General features: G+C 38.6%; 1 protein-coding gene and 1 pseudogene across 5 annotated transcripts in view; both read left to right on the top strand.

Annotated features, from left to right (window-relative positions):
- MICU2 (mitochondrial calcium uptake 2) overlaps positions 1 to 21754 on the top strand; it is a 111480-nt gene that overhangs the window by 38825 nt on the left and 50901 nt on the right. The window contains exon 1 of one of the 5 annotated variants that reach the window (XM_017020433.2): positions 17449 to 17509. The exons of the other annotated variants lie outside the window; for them this stretch is intronic. The gene's annotated coding sequence lies outside the window, so the exon portion shown is untranslated. Of the gene's footprint in view, positions 1 to 17448; positions 17510 to 21754 lie in introns of those variants that run through there. 5 annotated transcript variants of the gene reach the window in all.
- Positions 13936 to 14042, top strand: RNU6-59P (RNA, U6 small nuclear 59, pseudogene; annotated as a pseudogene).

The following is a 21754-nucleotide window of genomic DNA, read 5'->3' as shown; positions in this document are numbered from 1 at the left end:
ATGTTGGCCAGGCTGGTCTCAACCTCCTGACCTCAGGTAATCCACCCCCCTTGGCCTCCCAAAGTGCTGAGATTGCAGGCATGAGCCACCTCGCCCAGCCTAGGTTCTTTTATTACAGCTTTTTTGCAGGGAAGTTTGTGTATACTAGCAACCTTAAAGATATTTACCCACATTAGTACAGTAAGTTCATAATGTAAGTAATCAAAGATATGCAAAAAGATTTCTCTTAAAAAGTAGTTTAGCCTCTAACAGGTAAAGCACTTGGACGTTGTGAATTCCTGTTAGATTCATCAGAGAATTGAGGTCACACTTGAGCTGGAAACTGAAGGCAAGCAGATCCATAGAGTCAGCTTACTACCAACAGAAACCTCTAAGAACCCACCACTGGAGCCAGCTTCAGGTAGGAATATTTAAAGGGTAATTAATTGCTGGAATCTGAGTGTGAACTAGCTTGAGAGATAACAACTCCTGAAGAGCCAGCCACGGAGAAGCCCATACGCTTTTGTGAGTTTTACCTTGAGGAACTCTGCCAGGTTCTCACAGTGAAGATCTAAGAAAAATGTTCTCCCCTCTTCCTCATTGGGAGGGAAAAGTAGCCATTTTTAGATACTCCCAGAGCATTTCATTCTCCTTAACAAAGGCCTGCACAGAAAGGAAACTTTTTTACTGGAGCCCAGCCACCCTAGGGGGATGGAAATTCCCAAATCTATCCCCCTCTGGCCTTCTTGTCTCACCAAGGGGAGTGGAAAAACAAAAAAACTGAGAACCGCTTTTGAAGGGTACATCCCTTCACAGTCACACAGTCCGACTGAAAGACTGACAGCTGATCATAGGACTGTACAATACGTACCTCCCTTTTCACCTCACCACCACATCCATAGAGCAGGCCCCTTTGCAATAATAAGGCAGTACTGAAAGAACTTACCTCTTAGATTTTATTTAAGGAGAGAAAAGACAACGGGGGAGAAGAAAAAAAGGCACCAGAGGAAATTTTAGCCTCTGTCACCTACAACTACAGCAAACAGTAAACCCAACCGATTCCTACCCAGATAAACATAAAAGGCCAATCTACCTCAGTAACTTTTACCAAATACATCATGACTAACTTAGAACAAAAAAAGTCACAAGGCATGCTAAAAAGAAGAAGCACAATCTGAAAAGACAAAGCAAATATCAGTATCAGATTTATATATAGCAGATATTTGGAATTATCAGACCAGGAATTTAAAATAACATTAATATGCTAAGGGCTCCAATGGAAAAAGTGCACAGCATTTAAAGTAACGTAAGCAGAGGCAGAGAAATTCTTAGAACAAACCAAAAGCAAATGCTCAAAATCAAAAATAGTGTAACAGAAATGAAGAATGCCTTTGAAATTAGCCAGGTGTGGTGGCACACACCTGTAGTCCTAGCTACTTCAGAGGCTGAGGATCACTTGAGCCCAGGAGTTTGAGACTACAGTGAACTATGATTGCACCACTGCACTCCAGACTAGGTGACAGAGTAAGACCCTGACTCAAAAAAAAAAAAAATGTGTTTGTTGGGCCCATCAGTGTAACGGACCTGGCTGAGAAAAGAATCAGTGAGCTTGAAGATATGTCAATAGAAACTTCCCAACTTGAAAAGCAAAGAGGAACAAAAAGACTGAGAAAAACAGAATATTCAAAAACTGTGAGTCAGTTATAAAAGGTGTAACATATAAGGAACAGGAACACCAGGAAAAAAAGAAAGAGGAAAAGAAGTATTTGAAATAATAATGACTGAGTTTTCCAAAATTATTAACAAATGTCAAGCCATAGATTCAAGAAGTTCACAAAAACACCAAGCAGAATAAATACCAATAAATGCCTAGGTGTATCATATTCAAACTGCAGAATTTTTTTTTTTTTTTGAGACAAAGTCTCACTCTATAGCCCAGGCTGGAGTGCAGTGGTGCAATCTTGGCTCACTGTAAGCTCCACCTCCCGGGTTCATGCCATTCTCCTGCCTCAGCCTCCCGAGTAGCTGGGACTACAGGTGCCCGCCACCACGCCCGACTAATTTTTTGTATTTTTAGTAGAGACAGGGTTTCACCGTGTTAGCCAGGATGGTCTCGATCTCGTGACCTCATGATCCGCCCACCTTGGCCTCCCAAAGTGCTGGGATTACAGGCATGAGCCACCACGCCCGGCCAGAAAAATTTTAGAGAACAGAAGAAAGAGAAAAAAATCTTGAAAGAAGCCAAAGAAGAAAAAACACCTTATCTGTAGAAAAACAATGGTAAGAATTATATATTTCTTTTTAAGCAAGAAGAGGGTGGATAAAATTTTGAAAGAAAAATTTACCAATGTAGAATTCTATATCTAGTGAAAATTATCCTTCAAAAGTGAAAAAGAAATACATTCTCAGACAAACCAAATTTGAGAGAATTTGTCACCAGTAGATCTGATTTACAAGAAATGTTCAAAGACGTTCTTCAGAAAGAAGGAAAACGATATATCAGGAACTTGGCATGAAGAAAGGAAGACAGTTAAGGTAGAAAAGGAATACATGAATATAAAATCACGTTTTTAAAAATTGATATAACAGATAACAGTTTAATCAAAATAATAATAGCAACACAATATTGGATGATCAAATTGTATGGATAAGTGAAATATATAACAGCAACGGTATAAGGGACAGGAGGGAGGAATTGGGAATACTTTTGTTATAAGATACTTGTACCACCCACGAAGTGGTATAGTGTTATTTGAAAGTGGACTTAGATTAGTTGCAAATATATATTGCAAACTTTAGGACAACTACTAAAAAAATATTTTTAATAAATAGAATTGACATTCTAAGAGAGGAGAGAAAATTAAGTTATGTAAAATACTCAGCTAAAATCAGAGAAGGCAAAAAAAGAGTGGAAGACAAAAAAAATGAAACAAAACTCAAGTGCAATAGTTAGATATGGTAGATATCAATCCAGATATATCAACAGTCACTGTAGATATGTATTTTATGCATGTGGTTTATAAGAAACTTTTCCACTGTTGGTGGGACTGTAAACTAGTTCAACCATTGTGGAAGTCAGTGTGGCGACTCCTCAGAGATCTAGAACTAGAAATACCATTTGACCCAGCCATCCCATCACTGGGTATATACCCACAGGACTATAAATCATGCTGCTATAAAGACACATGCACATGTATGTTGATTGCGGCACTATTCACAATAGCAAAGACTTGGAACCAACCCAAATGTCCAACAATGATAGACTGGATTAAGAAAATGTGGCACATATACACCATGGAATACTATGCAGCCATAAAAAATGATGAGTTCATGTCCTTTGTAGGGACATGGATGAAATTGGAAATCATCATTCTCAGTAAACTATCGCAAGGACAAAAAACCAAACACTGCATGTTCTCACTCATAGATGGGAATTGAACAATGAGAACACGTGGACACAGGAAGGGGAACATCACACTCTGGGGACTGTTGTGGGGTGGGGGGAGGGGGGAGGGATAGCATTAGGAGATATACCTAATGCTAAATGACAAATTAATGGGTGCAGCACACCAGCATGGCACATGTATACATATGTAACCTGCACATTGTGCACATGTACCCTAAAACTTAAAAGTATAATAATAATAAAAAAAAAGAGACTAAAAAAAAAAAAAAAGAAACCCACTTTAAATGTAAAGATACAGATAGAGTAATTGCTAACACTAATCAAAAGAAGGCTGGAGTAGCTAGCCTTCAGATAAACCAAATTTCAGAATGAGGGAAATTATCAGGAATAAAAAGAGGCATTGCGTAGTAATTTTTTTTTTTTAATGGGTGAGTACTCCAGAAGACATAACTATCTGTAATGTATGTATACCTAACAACAGGGCATCAAAGCACATGAGGCAAAAACTGATAGAACTGCAAGGAGAAACAGATGTGTTCTTAGAAACTATTATACTTGGAGATTTCAAGAGCCTTCTGTCATTGATTGACAGATTCAGCAGACAGAAAACCAATAAGGATATACCTGAATAAAACAGCACCACCAAGTAACTGGATCTAATTGCCACTTATAGGATATTTCACCTAACGATAGCAGAATATACATTCTGAAGCTAACCTGGAACCACTCACCAAGATAGACCAAATTTGGGATCATAAAACACAGTTTAAAAAAATTTACAAGAATAGAAATCATACAAAGTATGGTCTTAGACCACAGTAGACTTAAACTAGAAATCAGTAACAAAAAGATAGCTGAAACATCTCAGAGTATTTGGAAATTAAATGACACACTTTTAAATAACACATGGGTCAAATAAGGAATCTCAAAAGAAATTTTAAAATATTTTCAACCAATGAAAGTGAAGCTGGCATCTTCAGAAGAGTATTTGGTCCCTAGAAGAGAACTCTAGGCAAGAATAGTTTAGATGACCAAGTGGAAAATTTAAAACCTTACAGGACCAGTCAGAAAAAGAATAGTTTTGAATCAAATCAATATAATATAGTCGGTGGGACAAGCTATATAGCTAACTAGAGTCTAGATGTTGTTACAGGCACTCAAATTGAAAATTTTTACAGAAATTCTGCTACCTAGACATTTCTACAAGCATAATTGGGCCTGTTGACCTAGTTTGTAACCCCTAATCTATAAATTCAGTGTAATTGCAATAATCCCAATGGGGTAGGTAAATGTGTGCTCACACATGTATGCACACGTGTGTGTGTGTGTGTGTGTGTTTTTTGACAAGCTGATTTGAAAATTTATACGGAAAAACAAGGGGCCTGAACTGGCAAAGACACTCTGAAAGAAGGAAAAAAATGGAGAAGTTAACTCTATCAAATAATGAGCTTTATTATAAAACCTCAGTAATTAAGATCAAATGGCATTGGCATAGGGATAGACAAACTGACCAGTGGAACAGAATAAAGAGCCCAGAAACACAAGGGAACTTTTATATATGAGAGAGGTGGCATTATAAATCAGTGGAAAAAGAGGGACTGTTCAACGAATGGTACTAGTGCAGTTGGATAATGGTACTAGTGCAGTTGGATATGCATATGGAAAACAAGCAAACATTTTTCAAAGAAAATTTTAAAATCTGTCTCCTTAGGTTAAAGAAATCTTCCTTAAATAAGCCACAAAAAGCACTAACATAAAAGATTGATAAAATTCAACCATATTAAAATTAGAACTTCTATTGATCAAAAGTTGCCTTAGAGAAATTGAAAAGGTAAGCCAAAGACTTCCAAAATTTAAGACAATACTTAGTATATGTAGAAAACTACAAATCAATAAGAAAAAGACAATTTTTTTAAAAAAGGGACAGAAGTAGTAAGTAGGCATTCACAGAAGAGGAAATGTATGCAAAAAAAGAACATAAATATGTTTACCCTTATTAGTGACTACAATAAGATATAATTTTATATAAGATTAGCAACAATTAATTTTGTTAAAGACAAAAGTTGAAGAGAATGTAGATCAGCAAAGATTTTTATACACTGTTAGTTGGACATGCCAATTGAAACTACTACTTTGGGCTGGGCATGGTGGCTCACCCCTGTAATCCCAGCACCTTGGGAGGCCAAGGCAGGTGGATCACCTGAGGTCAGGAGTTCAAGACCAGCCTGGCCAACATGGAGAAACCCTGTCTCTACTAAAAATAGAAAAATTAGCCAGGCATGGTGGCGTGCATCTGTAGTCCCAGCTACTCAGGAGGATGAAGCAGGAGAATCGCTTGAACCCAAGAGGTGGAGGTTGCTAGGAGCCCAGATCGCACCACTGCACTTCAGCCTGGGCAACAGAGCAAGACTCTGTCTCAAAAAAAAAAAAAGAAAAGAAAGAAACTCCTACTTTGGAAAACAACTTAGAACTGTTATATAAAATTAAACATTAGCATAACTTTTGACATACAAATCCCATTCCTATATATACACTCTATATGCAACAGGAATATTTGCCCCTGTGCAGTGGGATATATGTGTAAGAATGCTTGTAGTAGCAGTGTTATATTAGCAAAAGCTGGAAACAACTCAACTGTCCCTTAATAACAGACTGGATAAATAAACTGTGCTACAGTGTATTCACACAATGAAATTTTACTGAGTAAAAGTGAACAAACTTAGATGGTCGACTTTCATCATGGCAGCATGAGTAACTCCATTGGCCCACTTCCCACTGAAACTGGTAAAAAAATTTTAAGACCTTCCTTTAAAGTCTCTGGAAGTGGTCTTGGAGTCGTATAGCACATTAAAGAACATCTGTTTAAGAAAATCTACTAAAATTGGATAAGAAAACTAAGAGTCTGGGATGCTTGAACCAAGAACTCCCTCCCTACCCTGTCCCAGTTTGTTGAATGGAAATTTATTCCAAACTGGTGCAGCCAAGAACAGAGGGTTTCCTCTCCCCTCAGTACCCATTCAGAGGGCTTTCTTCCCAGAGAAACCGGATACCAGCATTTCTCATCTTGCCCCCAGCTACTTGTTTTTGAGGCTAGTTCTGGGGAGTGCAGCTGAGAAGTGGGAGCTCCCTTCTCCCTGCCATCCCTCACCTGTGAAATGGAGGCTCTACCTTGGGCCTTGTACCCCTAAGAATACTGGGACCCTGATTGCTCTTGTCTCAACTTGTAAGACAGGTTCCACACTGAGAGAGGCAAGTCAAGAAGACCTGAAGTTACACCACTGGTCCCACTCCCAACCCCAGAACCCCAGCCCACAAATTTTGTGGGGTGAGAAGTGGAGGGTGTGGGCAACAGGTAAAACAAATAGCTCCTTATCTCTTCCCAAAGAAACCGACTTCACCATCAACAGAAAATGGAGAAGTTCAAGCCTAAGATCCACACTCAAAAACACGTGGAGGTTGTGGTGAAAGGTAATTGGGAGGACATTAACAAATTCAATTAAAATAACAGGCTAAACTGTAGGCTGGCTGCTTTGCGGAAGAGAACTAGGGAAAGAGACAGCTATAAGGAGCCCTCCTGGGGTCATTACAAATATTAAACACTGACAGTGGAAATTATTCCTTCAAAGGACCCCAAATTAGTGGAGCTTAACATCTTGGTATGGTCAAGAAAACGGAAACTAGAGTGCTGCCCAAATTACTCTCATCCCAGGGTGACTGAAGGCATACCCAAAACTGCCTCCCTGAGGAGCAACATCAGAGGCTTAACACTGGGGGGCGATAGTCTTCATTAAAATAATCCAGCTTGGCACTAAACAAATAGCAAATAAGCAGATAGCAGTAACAACCCTGGGGGAGCAGGGAATTGTTAATAGTACTCAGAGTTGCTACAGTATATTATCTGAAATGTGAGTTTTTATAACAAAATATTATGAAATATGCAAAGAAACAGGAATATATGACTCTACTGGACAAAAGCAGGTAACAGAAACTGCTTGTGATTGCAACCAGATATCAGATATACCAGAAAAAGACTTTAGAATAGCCATTGTAAATATATTCAAAGAACTAAAATAAACCATGATTAAAGATTATAATGTTTCCACTTTTATTATTCATTGGAATGCAATTAAACTATCAGAAGGCATTTAGCTAAATCAAGAATTCAGTAATTTTGCAGGCCAAATAATACATCCTTTATGCATGTGATGTACTTCATCTTCATTTTTCATCATGGATAAGAAGGATAATAATCTTGGTTGCATTCCTACAGATCATTATGAACAGCAAAATAAGGAAAAACAGGGCCAACCCACTGACCCATGATCTCCATGAATAAACAGAAAGATACAAAACAGTCTAAGATTTATTAGATCCTAAACTCATTTTTACGTAGTATGTATCTTTTTGGATTTTTTGCAAATAATACACTTTATTAATAGTAGTTAATGAGGCTTCTGTAAACCATCTCCCCATGCTCCTTTCAAGTAGATACTCATTCTTCCTGTTTCCTTGGTAGGCTTGAGGGAAATCAGTGTCATCCTCAGTCCTCCATTGTGCACTCTAAAAACCATCAAATGTGCTGCTTTGAGACCTAGCTTATCTAGCCAGAATACCATTTCCCTTCTTTACGTTCTTTTCTACTGAATTTCTTTAGCCTTATAGTTCTTTAGTTTTCATTTCCAGTGACCTTCATTCTTATTCACTTCCCACGTCCATTACCTGGAATTGCTCCAGTTTTAAAATCTCAAATTGCAGAATCCCATTCTCTGGCAACAAGTTACTGTTGTCCCCACCCTGCCTACTTTCTAATACCCAATGCACCTATTCTCAGATTTAATAAAAGCTTCTAGTCTCAACTATCCCATCATTCCCAAGCTCTCTGTTCCTCTTGGATATTTTTCCTCCCCTGTAGCTACAGGTTTGTCATTTTGTCACTGTTGAATAACTACTTGCAAATATCTTTCCCCTTTGTTGTTCTTGTCGGACTTAGCCTGCTGTCAACTTTGGGAGAAAATCATGTGATTGTGCAGATCGGAGCCACTAATTTTGATAGTCCTCACCTTCACCTAGAGTTTTCCAATCATTTTACACATGAATTAGCTTTCTCCTATTTCCTTCGTCAGCTCTTCTCAACTCTTGCTGCTTTTTTCAGACTTTTTATCACATCCTTTTTTCACATTTATAATATTATTTCACCTATTTTTGACTGAGCAAATTAAGGCCATAAGCTAGGGAGTTCTTCAGATCCCTCCCTTGCTGCCCGAGAACTTGCCTACATGCTTCCTGGCCTTTTAAACTGGAAGTAGTGCTCTTGCCCTGCTAAGGCTGATTCCTCCGCCCCCTTCTCTAGTTCCATCACTTTTTCTCTCCACTGTCTCATTCTTTAAAACTTCCAAATAGTCTCATGTCTTCGCTCTCCTGAAAACTGCGTAGACATTAGAGATGTAAATTTAAGAATCTTCAATATATACGTGCTATTTAAGGCTAAAATACTTGATGAGATCTCAAAAATGAGTTTGGATAGAAAAGATAAGTCAAAGGACTGAGTGGTGAGTTATTCCAACATTTGGAGGTGAAGAGATAAGGAAAACCCAGAGAAGGAGCAGCTAAAAGGTAGGAAGAAAACCAGGAAAGCAGAGTGTTGTGAAATTTAAGTAAAGAAAGCATTTCAAGGAAGGAGTAATCAACTATGAAAAATGCTGTTGAGAAATCAGGTCAGATGAGGACTAAGAATTGACCATTAGATTTGGCAATATGAGGGTTATTGGTGACCTTTATAAGAACAGTTTTGGTGCATTGGTGTAAACATGAAAGCCTGACTAGAGTGGGTTTAGGAAAAAATGGGGGAAAAACAAAAGACTCCAGAGTGGCTTGCCATAAAGAGAAAGAGAGAGATGAAGCAGTAGATGGAGGTGGAAATGCGATCAAGAGGATCTTTTAATATGTGTTGGTAGGTGAGACAGGAAAACTTGGCAGTGCAGGAAGAATGAAAAATTTCTAAAACACAGTCCTTGTGAAGACAAGAGGGAAAAGAGTTTGAGAGCACAGTGGAAGCTTGGATTAGGTAGGAGCACAGAGTTCCTTCATAATACCAGGAGAAAAGGCATGCACACCACATGACATCTAATGGAAGCTGGTCAAGTTGTTTATTACCTTTCTTTCTTTTTTTCTCAGTGAATTGGGAAGCCAGGTTATCAGCTGAGAGTGAAGAGGGGGGGAAGGTATTGAGGTTTACAGAAATAGCCTTATAAAACAGTGAGAGAGTTGATGGATTGAGAAATACAATATGATTGCCAGTAACCTTATTAAAGTCCCCACTTGAAGTTATTAATTCTGAAGTTAAAATAAGTCTATTTATTTTCAAAGGGAATGCTTCCAGTTTTTGTCCATTCAGTATGATATTGGCTGTGGGTTTGTCATAGATAGCTATTATTATTTTGAGATACATCCCATCAATACCTAATTTATTGAGAGTTTTTAGCATGAAGCATTGTTGAATTTTGTCAAAGGCCTTTTCTGCATCTATTGAGATAATCATGTGGTTTTTGTCTTTGGTTCTGTTTATATGCTGGATTACGTTTATTGATTTTCGTATGTTGAACCAGCCTTGCATCCCAGGGATGAAGCCCACTTGATCATGGTGGATAAGCTTTTTGATGTGTTGCTGTATTCGGTTTGCCAGTATTTTATTGAGGATTTTTGCATCAGTGTTCATCAAGGATATTGGTCTAAAATTCTCTTTTTTTGTTGTGTCTCTGCCAGGCTTTGGTATCAGGATGATGCTGGCCTCATAAAATAAGTTAGGGAGGATTCCCTCTTTTTCTATTGATTGGAATAGTTTCAGAAGGAATGGTATCAGCTTCTCCTTGTACCTCTGGTAGAATTCAGCTGTGAATCCATCTGGTCCTGGACTTTTTTTGGTTGGTAAGATATTAATTATTGCCTCAATTTCAGAGCCTGTTATTGGTCTATTCAGAGATTCAACTTCTTCCTGATTTAGTCTTGGGAGAGTATATGTGTCGAGGAATTTATCCATTTCTTCTAGATTTTCTAGTTTATTTGCGTAGAGGTGTTTATAGTATTCTCTGATGGTAGTTTGTATTTCTGTGGGGTCGGTGGTGATATCCCCTTTATCATTTTTTATTGCATCTATTTGATTCTTCTCTCTTCTTTATTAGTCTTGCTAGCGGTCTATCAATTTTCTTGATCTTTTCAAAAAACCAGCTCCTGGATTCATTGATTTTTTTGAAGGATTTTTTGTATCTCTATTTCCTTCAGTTCTGCTCTGATCTCTTGCCTTCCGCTAGCTTTTGAATGTGTTTGCCCTTGCTTCTCTAGTTCTTTTAATTGTGATGTTAGGGTGTCAATTTTAGATCTTTCCTGCTTTCTCTTGTGGGCATTTTGTGCTATAAATTTCCCTCTACACACTGCTTTGAATGTGTCCCAGAGATTCTGGTATGTTGTATCTTTGTTCTCGTTGGTTTCAAAGAACCTCTTTATTTCTGCCTTCATTTCGTTATGTACCCAGTAGTCATTCAGGAGCAGGTTGTTCAGTTTCCATGTAGTTGAGCAGTTTTGAGTGAGTTTCTTAATCCAGAGTTCTAATTTGATTGCACTGTGATCTGAGAGACAGTTTGTTATAATTTCTGTTCTTTTACATTTGCTGAGGAGTGCTTTACTTCCAACTGTGTGGTCAATTTTGGAATAGATGTGGTGTGGTGCTGAAAAGAATGTATATTCTGTTGATTTGGGGTGGAGAGTTCTGTAGATGTCTATTAGGTCCGCTTGGTGCAGAGCTGAGTTCAATTCCCGGATATCCTTATTAACTTTCTGTCTCGTTGATCTGTCTAATGTTGACAGTGGGGTGTTAAAGTCTCCCATTATTATTGTGTGGGAGTCTAAGTCTCTCTGTAGGTCACTAAGGACTTGCTTTATGAATCTGGGTGCTCCTGTATTGGGTGCATATATATTTAGGATAGTTAGTTCTTCTTGTTGAATTGATCCCTTTACCATTATGTAATGGCCTTCTGTGTCTCTTTTGATCTTTGTTGGTTTAAAGTCTGTTTTATCAGAGACTAGGATTGCAACCCCTGCCTTTTTTTGTTTTCCATTTGCTTGATAGATCTTCCTCCATCCCTTTATTTTGAGCCTATGTGTGTCTCTGCATGTGAGACGGGTTTCCTGAATACAGCACACTGATGGGTCTTGACTCTATCCAATTTGTCAGTCTGTGCCTTTTAATTGGAGCATTTAGCCCATTTACATTTAAGGTTAGTATTGTTATGTGTGAATTTGATCCTGTCATTATGATGTTAGCTGGTTATTTTGCTCGTTAGTTGATGCAGTTTCTTCCTAGCCTTGATGGTCTTTACAATTTGGCATGTTTTTGCAGTGGCTGGTACCAGTTGTTCCTTTCCATGTTTAGTGCTTCCTTCAGGAGCTCTTTTAGGGCAGGCCTGGTGGGGATGCCCTCTCTCACCACTCCTATTCAACATAGTGTTGCAAGTTCTGGCCAGGGCAGTCAGGCAGGAGAAGGAAGGAAATAAAGGGCATTCAGTTAGGAAAAGAGGAAGTCAAATTGTCCCTGTTTGCAGATGACATGATTGTATATCTGGAAAACCCCATCGTCTCAGCCCAAAATCTCCTTAAGCTGATAAGCAACTTGAGCAAAGTCTCAGGATACAAAATCAATGTGCAAAAATCACAAGCATTCTTATACACCAGTAACAGACAGAGAGCCAAATCATGAGTGAACTCCCATTCACAATTGCTTCAAAGAGAATAAAATACCTAGGAATCCAACTTACAAGGGATTGTGAAGGAACTCTTCAAGGAGAACTACAAACCACTGCTCAATGAAATAAAAGAGGATGCAAACAAATGGAAGAACATTCCATGCTCATGGGTAGGAAGAATCAATATCATGAAAATGGCCATACTGCCCCAGGTAATTTATAGATTCAACGCCATCCCCATCAAGCTACCAATGACTTTCTTCACAGAATTGGAAAAAACTACTTTAAAGTTCATATGGAACCAAAAAAGAGCCCGCATTGCGAAGTCAATCCTAAGCCAAAAGAACAAAGCTGGAGGCATCACGCTACCTGACTTCAAACTATACTACAAGGCTACAGTAACCAAAACAGCATGGTACTCGTACCAAAACAGAGATATAGATCAATGGAACAGAACAGAGCCTTCAGAAATAATGCCGCCTATCTACAACTATGTGATCTTTGACAAACCTGACAAAAACAAGCAATGGGGAGAAGATTCCCTATTTAATAAATGGTGCTGGGAAAACTGGCTAGCCATATTTAGAAAGCTGAAACTGGATCCCTTCCTTACACCTCATACAAAAATTAATTCAAGATGAATTAAAGATTTACATGTTAGACCTAAAACCATAAAAACCCTAGAAGAAAACCTAGGCAATACCATTCAGGACATAGGCATGGGCAAGGACTTCATGTCTAAAACACCAAAAGCAATGACAACAGAAGCCAAAATTGACAAATGGGATCTAATTAAACTCAAGAGCTTCTGCACAGCAAAAGAAACTACCATCAGAGTGAACAGGCAACCTACAGAATGGGAGAAAATTTTTGCAACCTACTCTCTGACAAAGGGCTAATATCCAGAATCTACAATGAACTCAAACAAATTTACAAGAAAAAAACAACCCCATCAAAAAGTGGGTGAAGGATATGAACAGACACTTCTCAAAAGAAGACATTTATGCAGCCAAAAAACACATGAAAAAATGCTCATCAAAACTGGCCATCAGAGAAATGCAAATGAAAACCACAATGAGATACCATCTCACACCAGTTAGAATGGCGATCATTAAAAAGTCAGGAAACAACAGGTGCTGGAGAGGATGTGGAGAAATAGGAACACTTTTACACTGTTGGTGGGACTGTAAACTAGTTCAACCCTTGTGGAAGTCAGTGTGGCGATTCCTCAGGGATCTAGAACTAGAAATACCATTTGACCCAGCCATCCCATTACTGGGCATATACCCAAAGGATTATAAATCATGCTGCTATAAAGACACATGCACACGTATGTTTACTGCGGCACTATTCGCAATAGCAAAGACTTGGAACCAAGCCAAATGTCCAACAAAGACTGGATTAAGAAAATGTGGCACATATACACCATGGAATACTATGCAGCCATAAAAAATGATGAGTTCATGTCCTTTGTAGGGACATGGATGAAGCTGGAAACCATCATTCTCAGCAAACTATCGCAAGGACTAAAAACCAAACACTGCATGTTCTCACTCATAGGTGGGAATTGAACAGTGAGAACACGTGGACACAGGAAGGGGAACATCACACACCTGGGCCTGTTGTGGGGTGGGGGGAGGGGGGAGGGATAGCATTAGGAGATATACCTAATGCTAAATGACGAGTTAATGGGTGCAGTGCACCAACATGGCACATGTATACATATGTAACTAACCTGCACATTGTGCACATGTACCCTAAAACTTAAAGTATAAAAATAATTTAAAAATAAAATAATTTTAAAAAGAAGTCTGTGTGCTTGCTTTGGCAGCACGTATACTAAAATTGGAAAAATACAGAGAAGATTAGCATGGCCCCTATGCAAGGATGACACGTAAATTCGTGAAGCATTCCATTTATTTTTTTAAATGTATAAAAAATATATAAGTCTGTTTAGCATGATTGTGGTTCTTTTTCTCCACTGTGTTCAGCTGCAAAAGTGCTGGTATGGAATAGGCAGAGAGTTGGATCTAGGCAGTGTTGGAATTAGCCAAGAGCATATGACAAAGTGAAAGAGAAGCAAGGGAGTCAGTGTGTACACAAGGGAACAGTTCTGGTGGTTGACCATGGAAGCTGAGCCAGGTGGCATGTTAGGACATGAGCAGGTGAGAAATAGTGAAAATGTCGTAGATTCAAAAGATTGTAGGGCCCGTTGAGATCAAAGGATAGTTGGAGTCCACACACATAAGTGAATAACAAAAGAATGGGCATTATTGTATAGTTGATAGTACAGGTCCTGGAATAGGACAGAAAGTGAGTTTGAATACTGACTCCACCACTTAGTAGTATTGTGTCTGTGGGCAAAGTTATATAAGCTATTAGTCTAGGTTTCCTCATCAGTAAAACGGGAGTGCTAATAGTACCTACGTCAAAGCGTTGTTGTAAAGATTCAATAATACAAGTAAAGAGCAGAGTACCTGGCACATAGGAGGCTCTGAAACTGTCACTCTTACTAAGGAAAATGCAAAAATATTGGCAGTTATTATAATTGAATTCTTCAACTATGGGTGATTTTAGATTTTTAAATATTTTCTATATCTAGCTTTTAAACGTTTTATAATGAGCGTTATTCCCATAATTGGTAGACCCCTGCAAAAGTTTTTGTTTATTTTGCTTTGTTTTGTTTAAGAGATAGCGTCTTACTCTGTGGTCCAAGCTGGGGTGCAGTGGTGCGATCATAGCTCCCTGCAGCCTCAACCTCCTGGGTTCCAGCAATCCCCCTATCTCAGTCTCCGAAGTAGCTGGGACTACAGGCACATGCCGCTGTACTCAGCTAATTTTTTAATTTTTTGTAGAGAGAGAGGTTTTGCTTGGTTGCCCAGGCTGGTCTTGAACTCCTGGCTTCAAGTGATCCTCCCGTCTTGGCCTCCAAAAGCACTGGATTATAGGTGTGAGCCACCATACCTGGCAGTAAGTATTTTTAAGTGTAGCTCAGCATAAGTTGAAACTGCAAACCAAAAGTTAATAAATTTGTGTAGCTTTGGAAAACCAAAATGTCTGGAATGAGATGATAGAGTGGATTTTGCCTTAAGTCTTTATTAAGTTAAAGCAAGCAGATATTTGTGGCTCCTGTGTGTGCAGCTAGACCTTACAATCATTGTTGGTAGTAATATTTAAGGGAAAACTAAAACAGTGCTAGCCCTACCCTTTAAAAGTATCTATTCTACCACCTGTTAGACCATGATTTTAGCTTAAGTTCCCTGAAGGTTTTTTTCATACATCCACGAGCCTGAGGTCACAGCTTAAACCTCTGTTAACTTCTTAATAATTAGCCAACTGTAAGCAAAAATGGGTCACAGAACAGATGCCACTATTAAAGTCCCACTTGAGGTTATTAATTATTATAAAGTTAAAGTAAGTCTGTTCAGCATACTTGTGGTTATATTTCTCCACCATGTTCAGTTGCACAGTTGCTGAACTGGGAAGAGAGAAATAAGGCGTTTAGAGAGACACCACAGGAATTTTGCCCTATGCTGGTTTTGACTATTCCTTATACCAGTATATGATATGCCCTTATTTAAACTTACAACATGAGATTTTTTTGCAAATAAATATGTAAATAATAAACAAATGAACAGCCAACCCAGACAGCCAAATTCAGATTAACCAGTTGATTACTCTGAAAGGGTTGTAATTAGGGTGACCACAGAATTTATTATGGTGCACGTGCCAGAGTTGCTCATGTGACCCCATATCTTTGCGAATTTATCTTGGACTTTGAAATTCCACAAATGAATCTTAAATTTGAAAATTAATTGCAGTTGAACTGTGTAGTTCTTGTCTTTGCCACCATATACTGTAGCTTAATCTGATTTGGGGCTCATCTTCCTGCTCTGTAAAACTGAGTATCAATTATCTAATGTGATAATAGAATTTCACAAACTTGCCTGACAGTAAATTTGCTTGGGGCCCTTGTTTAAAAACTCTCAAGCTTGTCAGCTGGGCACGCTAGCTCACGCCTGTAATCCCAGCACGTTGGGAGGCCAAGGCGGGCGGATCACGAGGTCAGGAGATCAAGACCATCCTGGCTAACACGGTGAAACCCCGTCTCTACTAAAAATGCAAAAAAAAAATGAGCCAGGTGTGGTGGCGGGCGCCTGTAGTCCCAGCTACTTGGGAGGCTGAGGCAGGAGAATGGTGTAACCCAGGAGGCAGAGCTTGCGGTGAACCAAGATTGTGCCACTGCACTCCAGCCTGGGTGACAGAAGGAGACTCCGTCCCAAAAAAAAAAAAAAAAAAAAAAACTCTCAAACTTGTCTTCTCTCCTCCCCCACCCTGGGAAGTTTTTATTCAGAAGGTCTGAGATACGGCGATAGAATCCTTGTATAACCCTCCCACCTTCTATCTACCTCCCTCTCTTAGATTCCTGTATGCTTAGCAAGCACCCTCCGGGTGATTGTTTTGATCAAACAAGTTTGAGAAATATTTATAACCTATGTGAAGGTGTCTTGGGATGCCAGGTGTCAATTGTGGTAAAGGGTGGCTTATTGGAGTCAAACAGGACCTGGAGACAGTCCTCTTTCCACAGCTTCACTAGCCCCGTTGTAACCTTGGGTAAACTACCTGACCTGGCCTGTTTCCAGATCTATAAAATAATAGTGTCTACCATATAGTGTTGTTGGGATGATTAAATTAGAGAATGTGAGAAGACCTGTAGCTGCTATAGGTTAAAATTAATATTCTCAATTAAAGGTCTAAAATTTTAAAAGATTAAAGCCTTCTATCCACAAAATCTGTGTTAAGATCTTAACCACACTCATCAGGTAAACATTAGCAGCTACATATTTTAGATTAAGAAATAACACTTTTTTGTAATAAAACCTATGTTCATATTAGAAACTAAGACATTACAAAGTATAGAGCAGAAAATAAAGTCAACCAGATTGTCACCACCATTCAGAAACAACCAACATTAACACATTTCTTTTTACAAAGTTGAGACCATGCATTATGTGCTGTTTTTATACCCTAACTTTTTCTGTATAATGGATCATGAGTTATTTTCCTTGTCAACAAATATTTTTTCTAAAATACTGTTTTTGTGACTGCACAATATTTTATTAATATGCCATAATTTATTTAATTGGTTCCCTAATGGTAGAACATTTGTCTATTTTTTCACTGTTATAAATAATGCTATAGTGAATATACTTTTTCTTGTATCTTTGACTCTTCTTCCTTGATGATCTTATCCACATCAGTGATTGACTTGTTCCCTGAACACTGATTTTCATACCTATATCTCCAGATCAGACCTCTCACCTGACCACGAGACCCATAATATTCCTTGTTTCTTGAACATCTCTAAGAAGTACCAGAGGCATCTCAGGTAAACAACTCTATATGCACTGCAGATGCTCTACCCCCACCCCCACCCCCAAGTACACATGGACACCTGTGCCTACCCCATCCACAGTTCCTCTGTTAACCGCATCAGGGTCTGTCTTACTTGACATCATATTCCCAACCTAGCACAGTGCCTGGCACAGATGTTAGTCAAATAGACTCGTAAATACATCAATCAGTACAAACTCTTACATAATGAAATAATGAGTTATAATCCATACATTTCTTTACATTTTTATTTGATTTACCCTATGTTAACAGGTACTGTGTTAGGCCTTGGGGATATAATGGTGAATAAAACATACTATTATTACATTAATAGAATTCATGATATAGTGTAAGAGTTTCAGTAATAGACTAAAGTCTGATAACATTTCAGCAGAGAGATCTATGAGGGCTGGAATAATCAGAGATTTCACAGAGGATATGTGAAGAATGGATAGAATTTCCCTAGGTAAAGCAGGAAAAGGGAGAATATGCCATATGAGGAGATAAATCATTAAGATGCTGTAGCATTTGCATTTTCAAAATTGAAAAGACAGTTTCTGGTCCCACATGCTCATCCAGAACCTTATCACTCCCCATCAAAAGTGGAGCCTTTGTCCCTCCCCTTGAACCTTTGTGGCTGCCTCAACTCATAGAGCATGTGCAGTAGAGACTTCTGAGACTAGGCAATAAAAGGCAGTAAGTACATAAAGCCAGTTGCTAATATTCTTAATGATGAAAGATTGAATGCTTTGCCCCTAAGATCAGGAACTAGGCAAGGCTGTCCATTTTCACTGCTTGTCTTCAACATTGTACTGGATGGAAGGTCTAGCCAATGCAAAAAGGGAAGAAAAAGAAATGAGACCTACACATTTAAAAGAGAGAAATAAAGCTGTCTTTGTTTATGTACAGGATGATGACCTATGTAGAACATGCCAAAGAATCAATATTAAAGCTATTAGAACTAATAGTAAGTTTATCAGGGTCACAGGATTGAGCAGCACTATATAAAAATCAGTTGTATTTTTTTAAATTAGCAATCTCAGATGTATCATGCTGAGTTTCTGCAAGCCTCTAGCTATCCTTAACACCTTCCCCTACACACTCTATCAAATTACCCAACCACCTAGCTACAGAGAAAATGGAAATCATTAGATAGGAGCCACCTCAGCCTCCTCTGCTAAAACTACTAGCCTTGGCACTTAGCTTCTCCTGCCTTCTCATCACAATAGAGGAGACTGGCAGGACCTGCCATCTGGTCCTAGAACATTGCAACACATACCCATCTCAGAACTTACACATAGCATGTGTGTAATACTTTTAACCTCACTTTTCTAAGCTAATTCGTACACTTAAGATCTTAGCTTAAGCAGCTCATATTTGGAGAAGCTTTCCCTTACCTCTCCCTCCCCCATGTTATATAATCTCTTAGCTGCTGTATTTCTCCTTCAGATCATGTTTAAACTAATTAAATAATTTGTTGTGTATAATGCTCTTATTATTTCACAATGCTTGAGGTTGCAAAAAAAAAAAAAAAAAGTCTTTTTATCCCTTCCAAAACAAATGTATTTGAAGACCATACTTTGGAAATTGGCAAGGAAGCCAGTTTTAGGCATTTTAGGGAATAACCATTTGTTTCCCTTTAGAAAAAATACAACCAGAGACTACCTTTGCATCCACTATTTAAATATTCCAGCAAACATAAACAAGCCATATACTTTGTTGAAGGAAAATAGCACCACTGAATTTGTCCTCTTTTTTTCTTCAGTTACCACTTAAAATGTTTTATTTATTGATTTTTTTTAACTGACCCATAATAATTGTACATACTTATGGGGTACATAGTGATGTTGCAATACATGTAGTATGTAGTGATCATATCAGGGTAATTAGTATGTGCATCTCAAACATTTATCATTTCTTTGTGTTGAGAACATTCAGTTTCCTCCTTCTAGATCTTTGAAACTAGGTGATGTATTATTGCTAATTGTAGTTATCTTACAGTGGTATATAGAACACTAGAACTTTGCCCTCCAGTCTTGCGGTAATTTTGTATCCTTTAACAAATCTCTTCCTATCCCTCTCTTCCTCCCACCCTTCCCAGCCTCTAGTATACTCTGTCCTACTTTCTACTTCTATGATATCAACCCTTTTTTTTTTTTAGATGGAGTTTTCGCTCTTGCTGGAGTGCAGTGGTGTGGTCTCGGCTCACAGCAACCTCTGCCTTCCAGGCTCAAGTGATTCTCCTGCCTCAGCCTCCAGAGTAGCTGGGATTACAGGCGCCCGCCACCACACCCATCAATTTTTGTATTTTTTAGTAGAGATGGAGTTTCACCACGCTGGTCAGGCTGGTCTCGAACTCCTAACCTCAGGTGATCTGTCCGCCTCGGCCTCCCAAAGTGCTGGGATTACAGGCGTGAGCCACTGCACCCGGCTGAGATAAACTTTTTTTAGCTTCCACATATCAGTGAGAATATTGGGTGTTTAACTTTTGGTTCTTGGCTTGATTTCACTTAGCATAATGTCCTCCAGTTCCATCCATGTTGCTGTTAATGACTGGATTTCATTTTTTTAATGGCTGAATAGCATTCCATTGTATGCATATACCACATTTTCATTATCTGTTCTTCATCTGTTGTTGGACACTTAGGTTGATTCCATGTCTTGGCTGTTGTGAATAGTGCTGCAGTAAACATGCTGGGGAGATGCAGATGCCTCTTTGATGTATTGATTGTTTTTTCCTTTGGATGAATGCCCTGTAGTGGGGTTGCTGGATCATATGGTAATTCTATTTTTAGTTTTGTGAGGAACTTCATACTGTTGTCCATAGTAGTATATGTTCTAGTTTACATTCTCACCAACAGTGTATAAGAGTTCCTTTCCTGGCCGGTGCAGTGGCTCACAAGTGTAATCCTAGCACTTTGGGAGGCTGAGGTGGGAGGATTGCTTGAGTTCAGGAATTTGAAACCACCCTGGACAACATAGCAAGACCTCATCTCTACTAAAAATCAAAAAATTAGCCAGGCCTGGTGGTGCATATCCATAGTCCCAGCTAGTTGGGAAGTTGAGCAAGAGGATTACTTGAGCCCAGGAAGTTGAGGACTCAGTGAGCTATGACCATGCCACTGCACTCTAGCCTGGGCAACAGAGCAAGACCCTGTCTCAAAAAAGAATTCCTTTTCTCTGCATCCTTGCAAGAGTTTATTTTTTGTCTTTTTGCTAATAGCCATCATAACTGGGATGAGACGATACCTCATTATAGTTTTGATTTGCATTTCCCTGATGATCAGTGGTATTGAGTTTTTTTTTTTTTTTTTTCATGTGTTTATTGGTCATTTTGTATGTGTTCTTTTTTGAAGTGTCTATTCAGGCTCTTTGCCCATTTTTAATTGAATTTTTATTTTTTGCTGTTGATATTTTCTCCCATTCTGTAGGTTGTCTTTTTACCCTTGTTTGTTCCCTTTGCTGTACAGAAGCGTTTTACATCATCTCACTAATTTATTTTTTAAGTTTGGTATCATCTCACTAATTTATTTTTTGCTTTTGTTGTCTGTGCTTTTGAGGTCTTATTCATAAAATCATTTCCCAAACCAATGTCCTGAAGTATTTCACCTGTTTTCTTAAAGTGGTTTTGTAGTTTGAGGTCTTACATTTAGGTCTTTGATCCATTTTGAGTTGATTTTTATATAAGGTGAGGGGGTTAGATCTGGTTTCATTCTTCTGCATGTGGACATCTAGTTTTCCCAGCACCATTTATTGAAGAGAGTGTTCTCTCCTCAACTTAGGTTCTTGGTACTTCTAACTAAAATCAATTGGCTGTAGATACATGGATGTATTTCTAGGTTCTCTGTTCTGTTGGTCTGTGTTTCTGTTTTTATGCCATACCATGCTGTTTTTTGGTTACTACAGCTTTGTAGTATATTTGGAAGTGTGGTAGTTTGATGCCTCCAGCTTTGTTCCTTTTGCTGAGGATTGTTGTGGCTGTTTAGGGTCTTTTGTGGTTCCATAGAAGTTTTAGGATTTTTTTTCTACTTGCATGAAGAGTGTCATTGTTATTTTGATAAGGATTACATTGGATCTATAGATCACTTTGGATAGTGTGGTCCTTTTAACAATATTAATTCTTCTGATCCACGAGCCGGGGATGTTTTTCCATTCGTCTGTATCCTCCTCGGTTTCTTTCGTCAGTGTTTTGTAGTTATTTTTGTGAAGGTTTTCACCTCCTCAGTTAAATTTATTCCCA

Source organism: Homo sapiens, chromosome 13, assembly GCF_000001405.40.
Source record: "Homo sapiens chromosome 13, GRCh38.p14 Primary Assembly".
NCBI lineage: Eukaryota > Metazoa > Chordata > Mammalia > Primates > Hominidae > Homo > Homo sapiens.
This window is presented reverse-complemented; position numbering and strand designations above follow the sequence as displayed.